Raw genomic sequence first — 16804 nt, 5'->3', positions numbered from 1 at the left:
GGAAGTTGCAGTGAGCCAAGATTGCGCCATTGCACTCCAGCCTGAACAACAAGAGCAAAACTCCATCTCAAAAAATAAAAATTAAAAAAAAAGGTGAGTATCAAAAGGGAGTTCTATCCATAATGAAATTATTAACCCAAAGGAAGTCTCAGTGCTAATGGGCCCTCATCACTAGGTATGTGCCTTGCCATGATATTTCTGTAGATCTGAGTCAGTTACATATTATTTATGTCAAAAGTACTAATAGATTAAAAAGGGAGGGAGGTGGAGAGAAGGAAAAAGACAAGGCTTTGGTCAAGTCCACGTGTGCTGGTCTAGCCATGCAGTCATGTGGTTTCTCCTGGGCTCTTCCCGAAGGGCATGTCCTCACAAACCTTCTATGAGCTAAGTCAGGAGGGGGAGACGGGCAGGAGCCACATGAAACAGCAGGGCCAAGGGTATTACCCTGGAGTCAGCAAACACAGCCACGGAGCACAGACACGGCAAATATTCCACAGGGAAAAACCACCGAGGGCAAAAGTGGCCCAACTGCTGGGAGACCTGGTAGTTAGAGGAAAGCCTTTTTTAAACTCAGTGGAAAAGGCCCACATACAGCAGGCACCAGTATAATTACCAAAGCCACCAGGCCCGTCTGCCAAGCTGGGCTGATGTGGCCTCTTGACCAGGTTTTATTCTTGGCGGCTGCTGCACTCTTCTCCCTCTGCTCTTCCTGCTCCTGCTACTAAATAAACTAGCAGATGCTGGCTTCATGTACTACAAACCCTGAGCTATCTATCTTCTCGTTTGTTTTGGCATCTACTTCAAATGGTAAAGCATCTGTGAAACGGACCAAAGCACTCCAAAAATCTACTTCAGGGTCATTTTCAAGAATTTATTTCTACACTTCCACAGACCGTTTTGAATTTCCCTATCAAAGATATAACAAGCGTGATCCACACACAATCACCCAGTCATTTTTGTTATTTGTCTTCTCTAGGCAAATACATGTCATTGTTCAAATACCAGCGCGGGAGAGAAATCACAGTGTGCTTTTAGTTCTATACCAAATTTCATCCACTCCCATTTCTCTTCGTTCTCTGTGCTACCTTATTCACTCTTGTGGCTTCATCACCAGCTGTGTGTCAGCAACTCTGAAATTACTATCTCCATCCCAGACCTCTCTGATCAAACCCAGACCCAGATATCCAAAGACCTAATGGACATTTCAAAAACAAACTACTTAAAACTGAACTCCTCATCTTCCTCTTGCCAAAGTATTTCAGTACCCACTGCTTTCTCCTAACTCATACTTTGAGTCATCCTTGACTTCTCTCCTTTCTTCGGCCTCCCATCTTGTCAATAAAGCTATCATGCCTGAGCTATGCTCTATTAAACAAGAAAAGTTACACTTCTGTCTGATTTAAGTGTGCTTTCTATCTCTCTCTTCCAGATTCCAGCAAGTATTGCTGTATGTGTCAGTCTGCACTCACTGTGTGAGGTTGGCAAATGCCCTGTTCATTCTCTCAGCTCTCCCTCCAGAGCATGCTCCCATACACCAATTTCAAAAGCACTAGAGTGCACTGAACACGATAGGTTTCTTTGTATCTTTGGGTGGGGGTGGTCATTCAAAAACCCAAAAGAGAAGTTCTCATTTCACAGCAGCAGCATCTCCAAGGAAAATTCTTCCAGAGTGAAACAACACCACAGTTCATAAAACAACACAAAAGGAATCAAACAAGTCTGTTAAACAGTAACGAACTACAAAGCCAGAACTAACCTGGATGGAGACTTAAAAGACAAAGTTGTGGCAGGAAGAATACCAAAAAAGTTGGGAATGGGAAAAGTCCACTCACTGATTCAGTTACCCTCTGTAATTACAGACACCCAGACACCCTCACATCTTTCATTCAACATTAATATTTTTTCAGCCTGTCCTCAACCTGTTGAAATACAGCTCAGAGGGAAGTATTTTAGAAAGATGCATTTCCTCAACTTTGACTTTTCAACGCAACTCCAAGTAGAATTTTCAAAGAATAAAATGTCTAATTAGGAAGAACAGGCTTACAGTTTCAGCTCAGTTCAACTTTGTTGAGAAAATATTTCGGTCAATGGCTCAATGGAATGAGGTCCTTTTCTTTCCTATCTTCGGAGAGCAGCGTCGCCATTTCTAGGACTGACCCCACACAAGGAGTGTTGACTGTAAACTTTCAGGGTATCACTCGACAACCCAGAAACTGGTGGCAGCTGGAAGGACAGAGGTCATGTGTGCTGCTTTCTATAATAAAATTCTTTTTACCCCTGGGTTAAGTTGATTACTCAAACTCTCAGACTCCTCCTCCTCCCCGCTTCCAGCCTACTCGCATTTTCCCTAGGCTGATTGACTCTAGGAAAACAAGTATTGCATTATGCTTGACTCCTTGGAATGAGATCAGTTCTCATTTCAAATTCCCTTTCAGAACAACCCCAAGGCCACAGACCCTGTAAAAATCCCAGATGCCCAACAACTCAGGAAGGCCTAAGCTATGACAAGAAAACATTACTTAAGTAATAATCAGCAAATGCATCCTAAACCCGGACTGGTATCCTCTGAGGTCTCTTCCAAGGCATTTGGCAGGAACACGTCTGTAAACCACCCAGTCTCACTCTCGGCTCCTCCTCCAAGGCAGAATGGCCAAGGCAGAGGCTTTAGTGCACTGTTCGGCAGTGATTTTCTCCAACTGGCACCATCTGTGCACACCCTGCCAGACTTGCTGACAGAGCAGGCTGCACAGACCATTACTAATCTCCCAGGGTCAGCTGGGTCAGGCCTGCAACAGGATGCCTATAGATTTCAAAGGCCGGTGTTCTCTCCGTGCCAGCTAATCGATCTATGTTGGAAAGCAAGCACATTTTTATTCCACCTTCTTTTAAATTTCAAAGAAAAATCTCAATTTTAAAGCTCTTCATGTGGGAACTGCTTGCATGTAATCAGTGTCCTGATACCAGTTATGTTATATGAGATCTTTGGAGGATGGGGCTTACCCATTGATCCTTTGCCAAGATTCAGTAGTAAGGCCAGGAAGACAACTTTGCTCAGACAACAAAAGGCCTTCTAAATAGCACCATCGGGAATGGACTACATGGATCAAGATTCAGCCTCAACTGCAAAGTCCTCTTAGCTGAGTCTGCAAAAGAAGAATAAATGCTACTCTACCAGGATCTTATCATGTGAGCTCAGGCAGTGTCACCAGGACTGGTAAAGAAAATCTCAGCATCATTCACCATCTACTTCAGAATTCATCTGTGAATGCTGCCACCCACTACCAACTGCCTATCAAGTGTTTACTAAATGTCAATTGTGTGCCAAGAGTCTGATATTCCCTCAAACTTCTGTAGTTTCTTTTGCTGAGGAATGGGATAACTGAGTCTAGTACTCAGCCATATAGTAGGCTAGACAAATCCAAAAGCCCCTTGAAGGCGGGATCATATTGATCCTGTTTCAAGGTGTTACCACTTAGCACAGACTTTTTCAGGCTTGTTGCAGTAATTCTATTAAAAACCCTTTTAGATAATTATATAAATACAACTAGGAGGAGGCAGTATCAAGATCAATTACTGTAATCATTTCTTTGTAGATGATGTTATTCTAGATCTTCAAATAAAACAATGACTCAGTCTGATAGAGTCAAAAAACTAACAGCCACAAAACTAAGACATTACTACCAGCTCCAAAGAGACCAGATCTTTTGTTTACAATAATTAAAGGTTTAAAGAAATTTCCAGATAAGTGACTTCATCTTCTTACTCTTGCTTACATATCAGTTTCTACACTTAACCAAACCCTAACAGAGTTTACATGGGGCTAAAGGGGTGATAGTAAAGAGGAATTTGTGAGCTGAAATATAATTAATAATTCCTCTAACCCAGATCATCTTCCTTGTAAAAATATGGGTTTGTTAAGAAGCCAGCAGAGAGGTTCACAGATCTGACATGGCCACTTAGGCATAACTGGAGACTCAGGTCTGCATGAGTTCTCATTGAATAATTTCTTCTTCCAATATTTTTCCAGCTTCAGGTAACCAGAGAAATCTCCAGGCTAACCTGGTTCCTAACACGTCTATTCTTCCCAACTCCTCCCTTTGCAAGGGAGTCCCTATATTGTCTAAAAATAAGTCACGCAATCACTCGGCTCCCCTCCAACTATTTAGTATCAAAGAATCACTGCCATGTCTACAGCAGACATTTTCTCAGCCTTTAGATTTCCTATCTAGATAGCACAAAACAAACTGAACACATAAAACAAATGGGAACATTTATAATGAGATCATGTTTCACATCCACCACGCCTCAACTCACCCTTCCCAAGACATCAGGTGCACTGAAGAAGATCTCATTCCATTTAACTTACAGAAGGCACACCTTCACAGTCCAGGATGATGTGTTTTGATCTTTCAGAATTAACACTTGACTAGGCCTAACTTCACATCTTTGGCTTTCAATGTAAAGTTTTATGATGTCTTTCCTCCACATCCAGTCCCAATTCCTTCTGAGTGTCTCTGTGATTCTAGACAACAGCAACCACTTTTTTAAACAAAGACTTCCCAGCATTCAACTTCATTTCTGTCTGTTTGATTCTGCTAGAGAAAGAGAGATAAGAATCTAGACAGAGGCTTTCATAGTGTTTTACCTGTAACTTGTCTAAACCACCAACTGACAAATACAGTCTCTGCCATTAAGCACCCCAGGTACCTACGGTGTAGAAGTAATTGCACAGACCTGTGCCTCTAGCATCACTTCCAGCATGGAAGCAACAAGGAGAATGATCAGAAGGCAGGATGCCTAGACGATAGAATGATAAATCCTCACGAAGCCTAAAAATATCAAGTCCAAGCAAGAATCATGGCCAAAATATTGCTATGGAACTCATAGAAAAAGACCTGAACAACAAAATTCTAAGTGGAGACAGTAAAAAAAAAAATCCATGTTTCTTAAACAGCCCAACCATCCACAAAGAAACAATCAGGGCTGGGTATGTGGCTCACACCTGTAATCCCAAAACTTTGGGAGGCCAAGGCGGGTGGATCACTTGAGGCCAAGAGTTCGAGACCAGCCTGGCCAACACAGTGAAACCCTGTCTCTACTAAAAATACAAAAAAATTAGCCAGTCTTCGTGGCGCGTGCCTGTGATCCCAGCTACTAGGGAGGCTGAGGCAGGAGAATCACTTGAACCTTGGAGGCAGAGGCTGCAGTGAGCCAAGACGGTGCTACCGCACTATAGACTGGGAGACAGAGCGAGACTCTGTCTCAAAAAAAAAAAAAGAAAAAAGAAAAAAGAAAGAAAATCGGGATAGATATAGGCAGACAGAAGTCTCTACCACGATTATCCTAACAAGGTACTCACAATATCTTGAATTTTGCCCATTTCTTTTTGATTTCTAAGGATTTAATGATACTTCACCAGCCTATTACTGAAAGGTAGGGTTTCTTATTTTTTTAATTCTCTTAGCAATTTACCATTGCTAAATGTGAACAGTAAAACATACAATTTAATGTTTACTCTACCTTTAGAGTTTAAAACAACTTAAACCTAAAAAATAGGTATAGATGGATATAGTACAGTAAGAGAGAAGGGACAAGGTTTATTGGATTCTCTGGCTTCTCTCACCAATTAGATTCTATCTGGTTTATAAAGATTCCAAAGGAAGATTCCTACAGGGGCCTCAGAAACGCAATCCAACTGAAAAACCACACTAAAAAGACGGGCACTGTGTAGGGTTCTGAGATACTGAAAGATATGATTCCTGAATTCCCTCAGCATTCTGGGATAAACACGAAGAAATCCTAAGTCCTCACTGCTATAGTTTTTCTCAAAGGAAGAGTTTCTTACATGAGATATTGACAAAACAGCCAATCTTCCACTGTAGGTTTTGGGGCTGGGATATAGAGATGATTCCCAGAGTTAGAGTACTGAGAACTATGTTGGTTTCTGATTAAATGTTGGTATAATATTAAAAACCAGTTAAGAATGATCAAAGGAACCTACATAAAACACTGTGGTCACTCTTTCTTCATGTGCCATTAGCATCTGCCCAAAGGCTACCTCTGTGACAAGTCCAAATGGCTTGCCCCAGGCTCTGCTTGCAGGAACCAGACTTAAATAACAGTCAAGGTCTGATTTTGAGAACACTTAAGTTCAAGTGCCAAGTTTCTTTAACATTTAATATATTTGTTCTCTGTATAACCACCCCCTCTACAGTGGTTTCATGAGATCACCACCTAATCTCTAATTCTTACTCAAGGAAACCAGTTAAGAACCCTCAATGGAAGTAACCTAGGACAACTAATCACCCCCAAAAAACTCTTTGCTGTGGGGAAATGGATCACAAAATACAATGGATTGGTCGGGCATAGTGGCTTACACCTGTAATCCCAGCACTTTGGGATTTCGAGCAGATAACTTCAGGCCAGGAGTTCGAGACCAGCCTGGCCAACATGGTGAAACCCTGTCTCTACTAAAAATATGAAAATGGTCAGGCGTGGTGGCTCCACCTATTGTAATCCCAGCATTTTGGGAGGCCGAGGTGGGTGGATCACCTGAGGTCAAGAGTTCAAAAGCAGCCTGACCCACATGGAGAAACTCCATCTTTTCTAAAAATAGAAAATTAGCCAGGTGTGGTGGCGCATACCTATTATCCCAGCTACTGGGGAGGCTGAGGCAGGAGAATCGCTTGAACCCAGGAAGTGGAGGTTGCAGTGAGCCAAGATCATGCCATTGCACTCCAGCCTGGGCAACAAGAGCAAAACTCCATCTCTTGAAGAAATTTTAAAAAATAATAATAATACAAAAAATTAGCTGGACATGGTGGTGGACACCTATAATCCCAGCTACTTGGGAGGCTGAGGCAGAAGAATTGCTTGAACCTAGGAGGCAGAGGTTGCAGTGAGCCGAGATTGCACCATTGCACTTCAGCCTGGACAACAGAGCAAGACTCCATCTTGAAAAACAACAAAAAAAAGATAGAATGGATCATAGAGAAAGAGAACAAAGACGATCATGAAAAGACATAAAAGAAACAAAAATGAAAAGGAAAAGTACTCTCTCTCCCTCCTGGGGAGTTACATGCAAAATGTCAACTTACAGGAGTGAAATAATTACTCTATTTTTTTTTCCATAAGTTAATGGGGTACAGGTAGTATTTGGTTACATGAGTAAGTTCTTTAGTGGTGATTTGTGAGATTTTGGTGCACATATCACCCAAGCAGTATACATTGCACCATATTTTTAGTCTTTTATCTCTCACCCTCCTCCCACTCTTCCCCCCAATTCCCCAAAGTCCTTTGTATCATTTTTATGCCTTTACGTCCTCATAGTTTAACGCCCACGTATCAGTGAGAACAGACGATGTTTGGTTTTCCATTCCTGAGTTACTTCCCTTGGAATAATAGTCTCCAATCTCATCCAGGTCACTGCAAATGCTACATAGCATTCCATTGTATATATATACCACAGTTTCTTTATCCACTCATTGATTGATGGGCATTTGGGTTGGTTCCATGATTTTGCTATTATGAATTCTGCCATTAGAAACATTCGTGTGCAAGTATCTTTTTCGAATAGTGACTTCTTTTCCTCTTGGTAGATACCCAGTAGTGGGATTGCTGGATCTAATGGTAGCTCTACTTTTAGTTATTTAAGGAATCTTCACACTGTTTTCCATAGTGGCTGTATTTGTTTACATTCTCACCAGCAATGTAGAAATGTTCCCTGTTCACCGCATCCACACCAACATCTATACTGTTTTTTTTATTTTTTTGATTATGTCCATTCTTGCAGGAGTAAGATGGTATCACATTGTGATTTTGATTTGCATTTCCCTGATCATTAGGGACTTTTAGCATTTTTTCATATGTTTGTTGGCCATTTGTACATCTTCTTTTGAGACTTGTCTATTCATGTCCTTAGCCCACTTTTTTATGGTATTGTTTGTTTTCTTCTTACCGATTTGAGTTCATTGTAGATTCTAGATATTAGGTTTTTTGTCAGATGTACAGATTGTGAAGATTTTCTCCCACTTTGTGGGTTGTCTGTTTACTCTGCTGACTGTTCCTTTTGCCATGCAAAAGCTCTTTAGTTTAATTAGGTCCCAGCTATTTATCTTTGTCTTTATTGCATTTGCTTTTGGGTTCTTGGTCATGAAATCCTTGCCTAAGCCAACATCTAGAAGGGTTTTTCCAGTGTTATCTTCTAGAATTTCTGTAGTTTCAGATCTTAGGTTTAAGTTCTTGATCCATCTTGAGCTGATTTTTGTGTAGGGTGAGAGATGAGAATCCAGTTCCTTCTCCTGCATGTGGCTAGTCAATTATGCCAGCACCATTTGTTGAAAAGGGTGTCCTTTCCCCACTTTATGTTTTTGTTTGCTTTGTCAAAGATCAGTTGGCTGTAAGTATTTGTGTTTATTTCTGGGTTCTCTATTTTCTTCCATTGGTCTATGTGCCTATTTTTATACCAGTACCATGTTGTTGTTTTAGTGACTATGGCCTTATAGTATAGTTTGAAATCAGGTAGCGTGATGCCTCCAAATTTGTTCTTGTTTTTTGTTTTGTTATTTGTTTTTTGTTTTTGAGATGGAGTTTCACTCTGCCACCCAGGCTGGAGTACAGTGGTGCGATCTCTGATCACTGCAACCTCCACCTCCTGGGTTCAAGCGATTCTCCTGCCTCAGCTTCCTAAGTAGCTGGGATTACAGGCGCCCACCATCATGCCCGGTTAATTTTTGTATTTTTAGTAGTGACGGGGGTTTCGCCATGGTGGCCAGGCTGGTCTTGAACTCCTCACCTCTAGTGTTCCACCTGCCTCAGCCTCCCAAAGTGCTAGGATTATAGGCGTGAGTGCCCAGCCCAGATTTGTTCTTTTTGCTTAGTGTTGCTTTGGCTATGCGTGCTCTTACTTGGTTCCATATGAATTTTACAATTGTTTTTTCTAATTCTGTGAAGAATTCTGTGATGGTGGTATTTTGATGGAGATTGCGGTGAATTTGTAGACTGCTTTTGGCAATACGGTCATTTCACAATATTGATTCTACCCATCCATGAGCATGGGATGTGTTTCCATTTGTTTGTATTGTGTATGATTTCTTTCAGCAGTGTTTTGTAGTTTTCCTTGTAGAGGTCTTTCAACTCCTTGGTCAGGTACATTCCTAAGGTTTTGTTTTTTTGTTTTTTTTGCAGCTATTGTAAAAGGGGTTGAGTTCTTGATTTGATTCTCTGCTTGGTTGCTACTGATCTGTGTACATTAATCTTATATCCAGAAACTTTGCTGAATTTTTTTTTTTTTTTTTTTTTAGACAGAGCCTTACTCTGTCGCCAGGCTGAAGTGCAGTGGCTCAATTTAGGCTCATGCAACCTTTGCCTCCAGGGTTCAAGTGATTCTCCTGCCTCAGCCTCCTGAGTAGCTGAGACTACAGGTGCACGCCACCACACCCAGCTAATTTTTGCATTTTGGGTTCCACCATGTTGGCAAGGATGTTCTCAACCTCTTGACCTCGTGATCCACCCACCTCGGCCTCCCAAAGTGCTGGGATTATAGGCGTGAACCACCACGCCAGGCCTTGCTGAATTCTTTTATCAGTTTCAGGAGCTTTCCAGAGGAGTCCTTAGGGTTTTCAAGGTAAATGATCATATCGTCAGCAAACAGTGACAGTTTGACTTCCTCTTCACCAATTTGGATACCCTTTATTTCTTTCTCTTGTCTGATTGCTCTGGCTAGGACTTCCTATGTTGAAGAGGAGTGGTGAGAGTGGGCATTTTTGTCTTGTTCCAGTTCTCAGAGTGAATGCTTTCAACTCTTCCCCATTCAGTATTATACTGGCTATTGGTTTGTCATGATGGCTTCTATTACATTACGGTATGTCCTTTGTATGAGCGATTTTGCTGAGAGTTGTTTGTTTGTTTGTTTGAGACAGAATCTCGCACTGTTGCCCAGGCTGGAGTGCAGTGGTGCAATCTTGGTTCACTGCAACCTCTGCCTCCCGAGTTCACGCGATTCCCCTGCCTCAGCCTCCTGAGTAGCTGGGATTACAGGCACACGCCATCACACCTGGCTAATTTTTTGTCTTTTTAGTAGAGGTGGGGTTTCACTATGTTGGCCAGACTGGTCTCGAACTCCTGACCTGGTGATCTGCTCACCTCAGCCTCCCAAAGTGCTGGGATTACAGGCGTGAGCCACCGTGCTTGGCCTGAGTTTTAATCATAAAGGATGCTGGATTTTGTCAAATGCTTTTTCTGCATCTATTGAGATGATCATGTGATTGTTGTTTTTAATTCTGTTTATGTGGTATATCTCATTTATTGACTTGGATATATAAACCTTCCCTGTACCCTTGGTATGAAACCCACTTGGATCATGGTGAATTATCTTTTTGATATGTTGTTGGATTCAGTTAGCTAGTATTTTGTTAAGAATTTTAACATCAATGTTCATCAAGGATATCGGTCTGCAGTTTTCTTTTATGATTATGACCTTTCCTGGTTTTGGTATTAGGGTGATGTTAGCTTCATAAAATGAATTAGGGAAGGTTCCTTCTTTCTCTATCTTGTGGAATAGTGTCAAAAGGATTGGTACCAATTCTTCTTTGAATGTCTGATAGAATTCTGCTCTGAATCCGTCTGGTCCTGGACTTTTTTTTTGTTGGTAATCTTTTAATTACCATTTCAATCTCGCTGCTTGTTATTGGTCTGTTCAGGGTATCTAATTCTTCCTGATTTAAGCTAGGAGGGTTGTATTTTTCCAGGAATTTGCCCATCTCTCCTAGGTTTACTAGTTTATGTGTGTCGAGGTGTTCATAGTAGCCTTGAATGATCTTTTGTATTTCAGTGGTGTCAGTTGTAATATCTCCTGTTTCGTTTCTTAGTGTAGTTATTTGGATTTTCTCTATTCTTGGTTAATTTTGCTGTTCTATCAATTTTATTTATCTTTTCAAAGAACCAGCTTTTTGTTTTATTTATCTTTTGCATTTTTTGTTTGTTTGTTTCAGTTTCATTTAGTTCTGCTCTGATCTTGGTAATTTCCTTTCTTCTGCTGGGTTTGGGTTTGGTTTGTTCTTGTTTCTCTAGTTGCTTGAGGTGTGACGTTAGCATGTCAGTTTGTACTCTTTCAATCTTTTTGATGTGGCACTTAGGGCTATGAACTTTCCTCTTAGCACCGCCTTTGCTGTATCACAGAGGTTTCGATAGGTTGTGTCATTATTGTCATTCAGTTTGAAGAATTTTTAAATTTCCATCTTGATTTCGTTTTTGACCCAATGCTCATTCAGGAGCAGGTTATTTAATTTCCATGTATTTGCATGGTTTTGAAGGTTCCTTTTGGAGTTGATTTCTAGTTTTATTCCACTGTGGTCTGAGAGAGTGCTTGATATAGTTTCAATTTTCTTAAATTTATTTAGGCTTGTTTTGTGGCCTATCATATGATCTGTCTTGGAGAAAATCCCATGCGATGTTGAATAAAATGTGTATTCTGCGGTTGCCAGATGAAATGTTCTGTAAATATCTGTTAAGTTCATTTGTTCCAAGGTATAGCTTAAATCCATTCTTTCTTTGTTGACTTTCTGTCTTGATGACTTGTCTAGTGCTATCAGTGGAATACTGAAGCCCCCCACTATTACTGTGTTGCTGTCTATCTCATTCTTAGGTCTATTAGTAATTGTTTCATAAATTTGGAAACTCCAGTATTAGGTGCATATATGTTTAGGATTGTGATATTTTCCTGTTGGACAAGGCCTTTTATCATTATATAATGTCCCTCTTTGCCTCTTTTAACTGCTGTTGCTTTAAAATTTGTTTTGTCTGATGTAAAAATAGCTACCCCTGCTCACTTTCGGTGTCCATTTGCATGACATGCCTTTTTTCACCCCTTTACTTTAAGTTTGTATGAGTCCTTATGTGTTGTGTGAATCTCCTAAAGGCAGCAGAAAGTTGGTTGGTGAGTTCTTATCTATTCTGGGGTTCTGTATTTTTAAGTGGAGCATTTAGGACATTTACATTCAATGTCAGTATTGAAATGTGGGGTACCCTTGCATTCATCGTGCTTTTTGTTGCCTGTGTACTTGGCTTTTTTGTTCTTTGTTTTTACTTTTTAACATGTATTTTTGTTTTATAGGTCCTGTGTGATTTATGCTTTAAAGCGGTTCTGTTTTGATGTGTTTCCAGGATTTGTTTCAAGATTTAGAGCTCCTTTTAGCAGTTTAGTTGTGACTTGGTAATGGCGAATTCTCTCAGTATTTGTTTGTCTGAAAACAACTATATCTTTCCTTCATATATGATGCTAAGTTTCACCGGATACAAAATTCTTGGCTGGTCATTGTTTTGTTTGAGGAGGCTGAAGATGGGGCCCCAATCCCTTCTAGCTTGTAGGGTTTCTGCTGAGAAATCTGCTGTTAATCTGATAGGTTTTCCTTTACAGGTTACCTGGTGCTTCTGTCTCACAGCTCTTAAGATTCTTTCCTTTGTCTTAATTTTAGATAACCTGATGACAATGTGCCTAGGCAATGATCTTTTTGCAACGAATTTTCCAGGTGTTCTTTGTGCTTCTTGTATTTGGATGTCTAGGTCTCTAGCAAGGCCGGGGAAGTTTTCCTCAATTATTCCCCTAAATATGTTTTCCAAGCTTTTAGAATTCTCTTCTTCCTTAGGAACATCGATTATTCTTAAGTTTAGTGATTTAACATAATCCCAGACTTCTTGGAGACTTTATTCGTATTTTCTTATTCTTTTTTCTTTGTCTTTGTTAGATTGGGTTAATTCGAAGACCTTGTCTTGGAGCTCTGAATTTCTTTCTTCTACTTATTCAATTCTATTGCTGAGACTTTCCACAGCATTTCACATTTCTAAAAGTGTGTCAAAGTTTCCTGAATTTTTGATTTTTTTTTTCTTTAAGCTATCTATTTCCTTGAATATTTCTCCCTTCACTTGTATCATTTTTTGGATTTCCTTGCACTGGGCTTCCCCTTTCTCTAGCCCCTCCCTGATTAGCTTAATAACTAACCTCCTGAATTCTTTTTCAGGTAAATTAAGGATTTCTTCTTGGTTTGGATCCATTGCTGGTGAACTAGTGTGATTTTTTTGAGGGTGTTGAAGAGCCTTGTTTTATTATATTACCAAGGTTGGCTTTCTGGTTCCTTCTCATTTGAGTAGGCTCTGTCAGAGGGAAGGTCTAGGGCTGAAGGCTATTGTTCAGATTCTTTTGTCCCACGGGGTGTTCCCTTGATGTAGTATTCTCCCCCTTTTCCTATGGATGTGGTTCCATGTGAGCCAAACTGCAGTGGATTGTTGTCTCTCTTATGGGTCTAGCCACCCAGCGAGTCTACCTGGCTCTGGGCTGGTACTGGGGGTTGTCTGCACAGAGTCTTGTGATGTGAACCATCTATGGGTCTCTCAGCGGTGGATACCAGCGCCTGTTCCAGTGGAGGTGGTAGAGGGTGCAATGGACTCCGTGGGGATCCTTAGCTGTGGTGGTTTAATGCTCTGTTTTTTTGCTGGTTGGCCTCCTGCTGGCAGGTGGCACTTTCCAGACAGTATCAGCTATAGTTGCATAGAGAGGGACCAGCCCTAGAACTCCCAAGCTTATATGTCCTTTATCTTCTGCTACCAACCTGCGTAGGGAAGGATCATCAGGCGGGGGCAGGGCTAGGTGTGTCTAAGCTCAGACTCTCCTTGGGCAGGTCTTGCTGTGGCTGCTGTGAGGGATGGGGATGAGATTCCCAGGTCACTGGAGTTGTGTACCTAGGAGGATCATGGCTCCCTCTGCTGAGTCATGCAGGTTGTCAGGAATGTGGGGGAAAGCCGGCAGTCACAGGTCTTACCCAGCTCCCACACAAAGTGAAGGGCCAGCCTCACTCCCATCATGCCCCCTGCCCTGATATCTGGAAACAGCCCCGAGTCTGTTTCCAGGCGCAGGGCAGGATGGGCTTGAAAACTTGCCCTGGGCTACCTACCTCCCAGCTGCAAAAGAAAAAGCTTGGTTCTTCCCCCGCCTGTGGTGTCTACACACTAGTTTTGCACCCTCCCCCAAGTTCTGACCAGGCTTCTGGTCCTGTTCAAATTGTTACAAAGTTCAGCTCGGAGAGTTCCTTCTCCCTGTGGAGTTTTACCTGCTGCTCCTCTGGTCACCCTCCCAATGGATCTCTGTGATGCCAGGCAGGAATGGCCTGCTAAGGGATACAGTGAGCTCCCAGGGCCTTTCTGCTGCTTCCTCTACCCCTGTATTTCACTCAGTTCTCTAAAGTGACTCAGCTGCAGGTAAAGTCAGAAACTTCTCCCACAAACAGACCTTCAGCTCCAGCGGGGGTGTGTTTAGGAGAGGAGGGTCTCCCTTTCCCACTTCCACAGTTAGAGCACTCACAGTATTTAGGGTGTCTCCTGACTCCTGCAGGAGCAGTCCACTTCCTTCAGAGGGTCTGTGGGTCCTCTCGGGATTGCTGGTTTTTTCTTGCAGTCGATCTGCAGCTAAAATTCGTAGTGCAAGTTTCCGCAAGCTGCTCTGTCTGGAGCTGCAATCTAGTCCTGCTTCCTGTCCGCCATGATGATCCAATGCCAAGAATTACTCTAGACGCTCTGACTCCTAACACATAATCCAAAAACCGCCAAAACACCATTGGGCCAAATCCAAAATGCTTCTAATAGGGCTGAGTCACAGAGCACTGCATTTAACAGCAACATCACTGAACACTGTATGACAGCACATTTAAGGTCCTGAGGCATCGTCTCTGCCCATACATTTTTTTTTTTAATATTTTTTCCAGATGCCCCATCTATTGTCCCAACCGTACGTACAGTTCAATAAACAGGGCAACAAAAAAGGATTGACTTTGGAGACAAGGCTCAGGATCATACACTATTCCTAAACCTTTTTTGATCATTCCAGAACTTGCCATCTCCCCACTTCCATGGCTAAGTAGACAGTATACCTTCTGCTTCACATGATTATTTTAAATATCAACTTTTAAATTCACAGAATTGCAGAGTTCTAGCATTTCCAAAGTGGGACAGAGCCTGGGAATCAACTGGGAAATATTCTCTGTTACAACTGAAGAGACCAAAGCTCAGAGAGTTGAGTGACTTCACCAAAGCCACACAGCTAGAGACCAATCAATCAACCAGCCAAACTGAAACACAGAGACTAAGCATCCATATAAGCAAAATTTACTTTCCCTTTTCAGCTAATTTGTATGACAATAAATTATAAATAATTCCAACTTTCTTTTTAAAAATATCTGAACTCATACATTTAAAAATCTTTAAAAATATATCCCAATCATTTAATGGGGTAGTTAAATGGAGTGTTTTTATAACCACCTTTCAAAGCTAAGCATATGTTGAAACTCACTGGACCACCCAAGTCCAAAATCTAGTTATGCCATTTAATGTTTATTTAGTTTGTTTCTAAACGTGTATTTAAGTGGCAAAGTCATAAAGAGAAGAATTAATGATAATCAATACCAGATCTGCAACCATGGGACTCTTCTTGGGTTTGCAGTATTTAGTGAAGTCAACCAAGGGGGAAAAATAATGCACTCTAAAAGGAGAAAACTCTGCATAGCACTTTAAAGCAAGTCCCCAGCCACATGCTGTATTCCGAAAGCAGAATTATCCAAAGACCAAAATATGATCCTCTGAAAGACACCCATGGAAAGGAAAACGTAGAGATCTTAGAAGTGCGGGGAGGTGGCAAATGAGATTTAATGCCAGGAAAGAATACACTTTGTGCCCTCTGATATCTTTAAAACTACATGTCACAACTCTAGACTCCAAAATGAAGTGCAGACAAACTTAAAAAGACCCAAAAACGAAGGATATGTTTACTTACCAAAACTTGCAGATGGTTCATATTCCTAAGGAGTGTTTGCAATTTATCTGGATCTCATAAGACAGCTTCACATAGAAACAATATCATAAACAGCAATTAGTTTTCCAGACCAGCCTATAGAAACATTTTGAGAGAGTCCCTATATACCTAAAGTAAAAAATCCCATAAGATATAGAACCTAAGCAAGAAAGAGGAATTAAGGGCCTGCAGCAGAAAAGAGGAGGAAAGAGGCTTTGTAGGGGCAGAAAGGAAGCCTGTTTCCAGTTACCCTTCTCTGTGTTTAAATTAATGGGCGATCAGCACCCGTGCTCCCCTCTGCCTTCTCTCCCTCCTGTTCTCCCAGCCCTCATGGGAAGAAGGAAGAAACAAAGGCAGAGGTGTTGCAATGCCACCTGCCCAAGCCTCTCATAGGCAATAAAGCCAAATGAGCGACCAGTACCTGGGACCCAGGGAGCAGAGCAGGAAATGAGAAACTGCAGAAGTTGTGGCAGAAGGGCAAGCACAGAAAACCCTACACCACCAACACCTGAGGCTGCAACACCCCAGGCAGCCTCACTGAGTGAGCTGTTCCCAAGCAAAGGGCTTTAGGAAACCAGGCACACGTACAGAAGAACAACGAAAGTAAACTTCGGTTGGCCCCTTGAGAAGTTAGAAAATGCTTCTAGAAAACAGAACATTTCTTCTCTAAAAATGAGTCAGGGGGCCGGGTGCGGTAACTCACACCTGTAATCCCAGCACTTTGGGAAGCCAAGGTGGGCGGATCACTCGAGGACAGTAGTTCAAGACCAGCCTGGCCAACATGGTGAAACCCTGTCTCTACTAAAAATACAAAAATTAGCCGGGCATGGTGGCTGTGATCCCAGCTACTCGGGAGGCAGAGGCAGGAGAATTGCTGGAGCCCAGGAGGCAGAGGTTGCAGTGAGCCAAGATTGTGCCACTGCACTCCAGCCTGAGTGACAAAGCGAGACTCCGTCTCAAAAAAAATAA

General features: G+C 41.7%; 1 long non-coding RNA gene across 1 annotated transcript in view, besides 2 other annotated features; it reads right to left on the bottom strand.

Moving 5' to 3' along the window:
• Positions 1 to 16804, bottom strand: part of CASC15 (cancer susceptibility 15) — a 529408-nt gene that overhangs the window by 307467 nt on the left and 205137 nt on the right. The gene's annotated exons all lie outside the window — the stretch shown is intronic.
• Positions 13505 to 14704: an enhancer, noted in NCBI's record as "MED14-independent group 3 enhancer chr6:21873881-21875080 (GRCh37/hg19 assembly coordinates)". NCBI's record gives its function as "activates an origin of replication core promoter dependent on BRD2, BRD4, P300/CBP and CDK7 cofactors, and independent of MED14, by STARR-seq in HCT116 cells {active_cell/tissue: HCT116}" and the evidence as "EXISTENCE:reporter gene assay evidence [ECO:0000049][PMID:35650434]".
• Positions 16347 to 16396: a silencer, noted in NCBI's record as "silent region_16987". NCBI's record gives its function as "represses an Ori minimal core promoter by ATAC-STARR-seq in GM12878 lymphoblastoid cells {active_cell/tissue: GM12878}" and the evidence as "EXISTENCE:reporter gene assay evidence [ECO:0000049][PMID:35858748]".

Source organism: Homo sapiens, chromosome 6 (assembly GCF_000001405.40).
Source record: "Homo sapiens chromosome 6, GRCh38.p14 Primary Assembly".
NCBI classification, from domain to species: domain Eukaryota; kingdom Metazoa; phylum Chordata; class Mammalia; order Primates; family Hominidae; genus Homo; species Homo sapiens.
The sequence above is the reverse complement of the archived record's forward strand: the minus strand, read 5'-3'. Positions and strand labels throughout refer to the sequence as shown.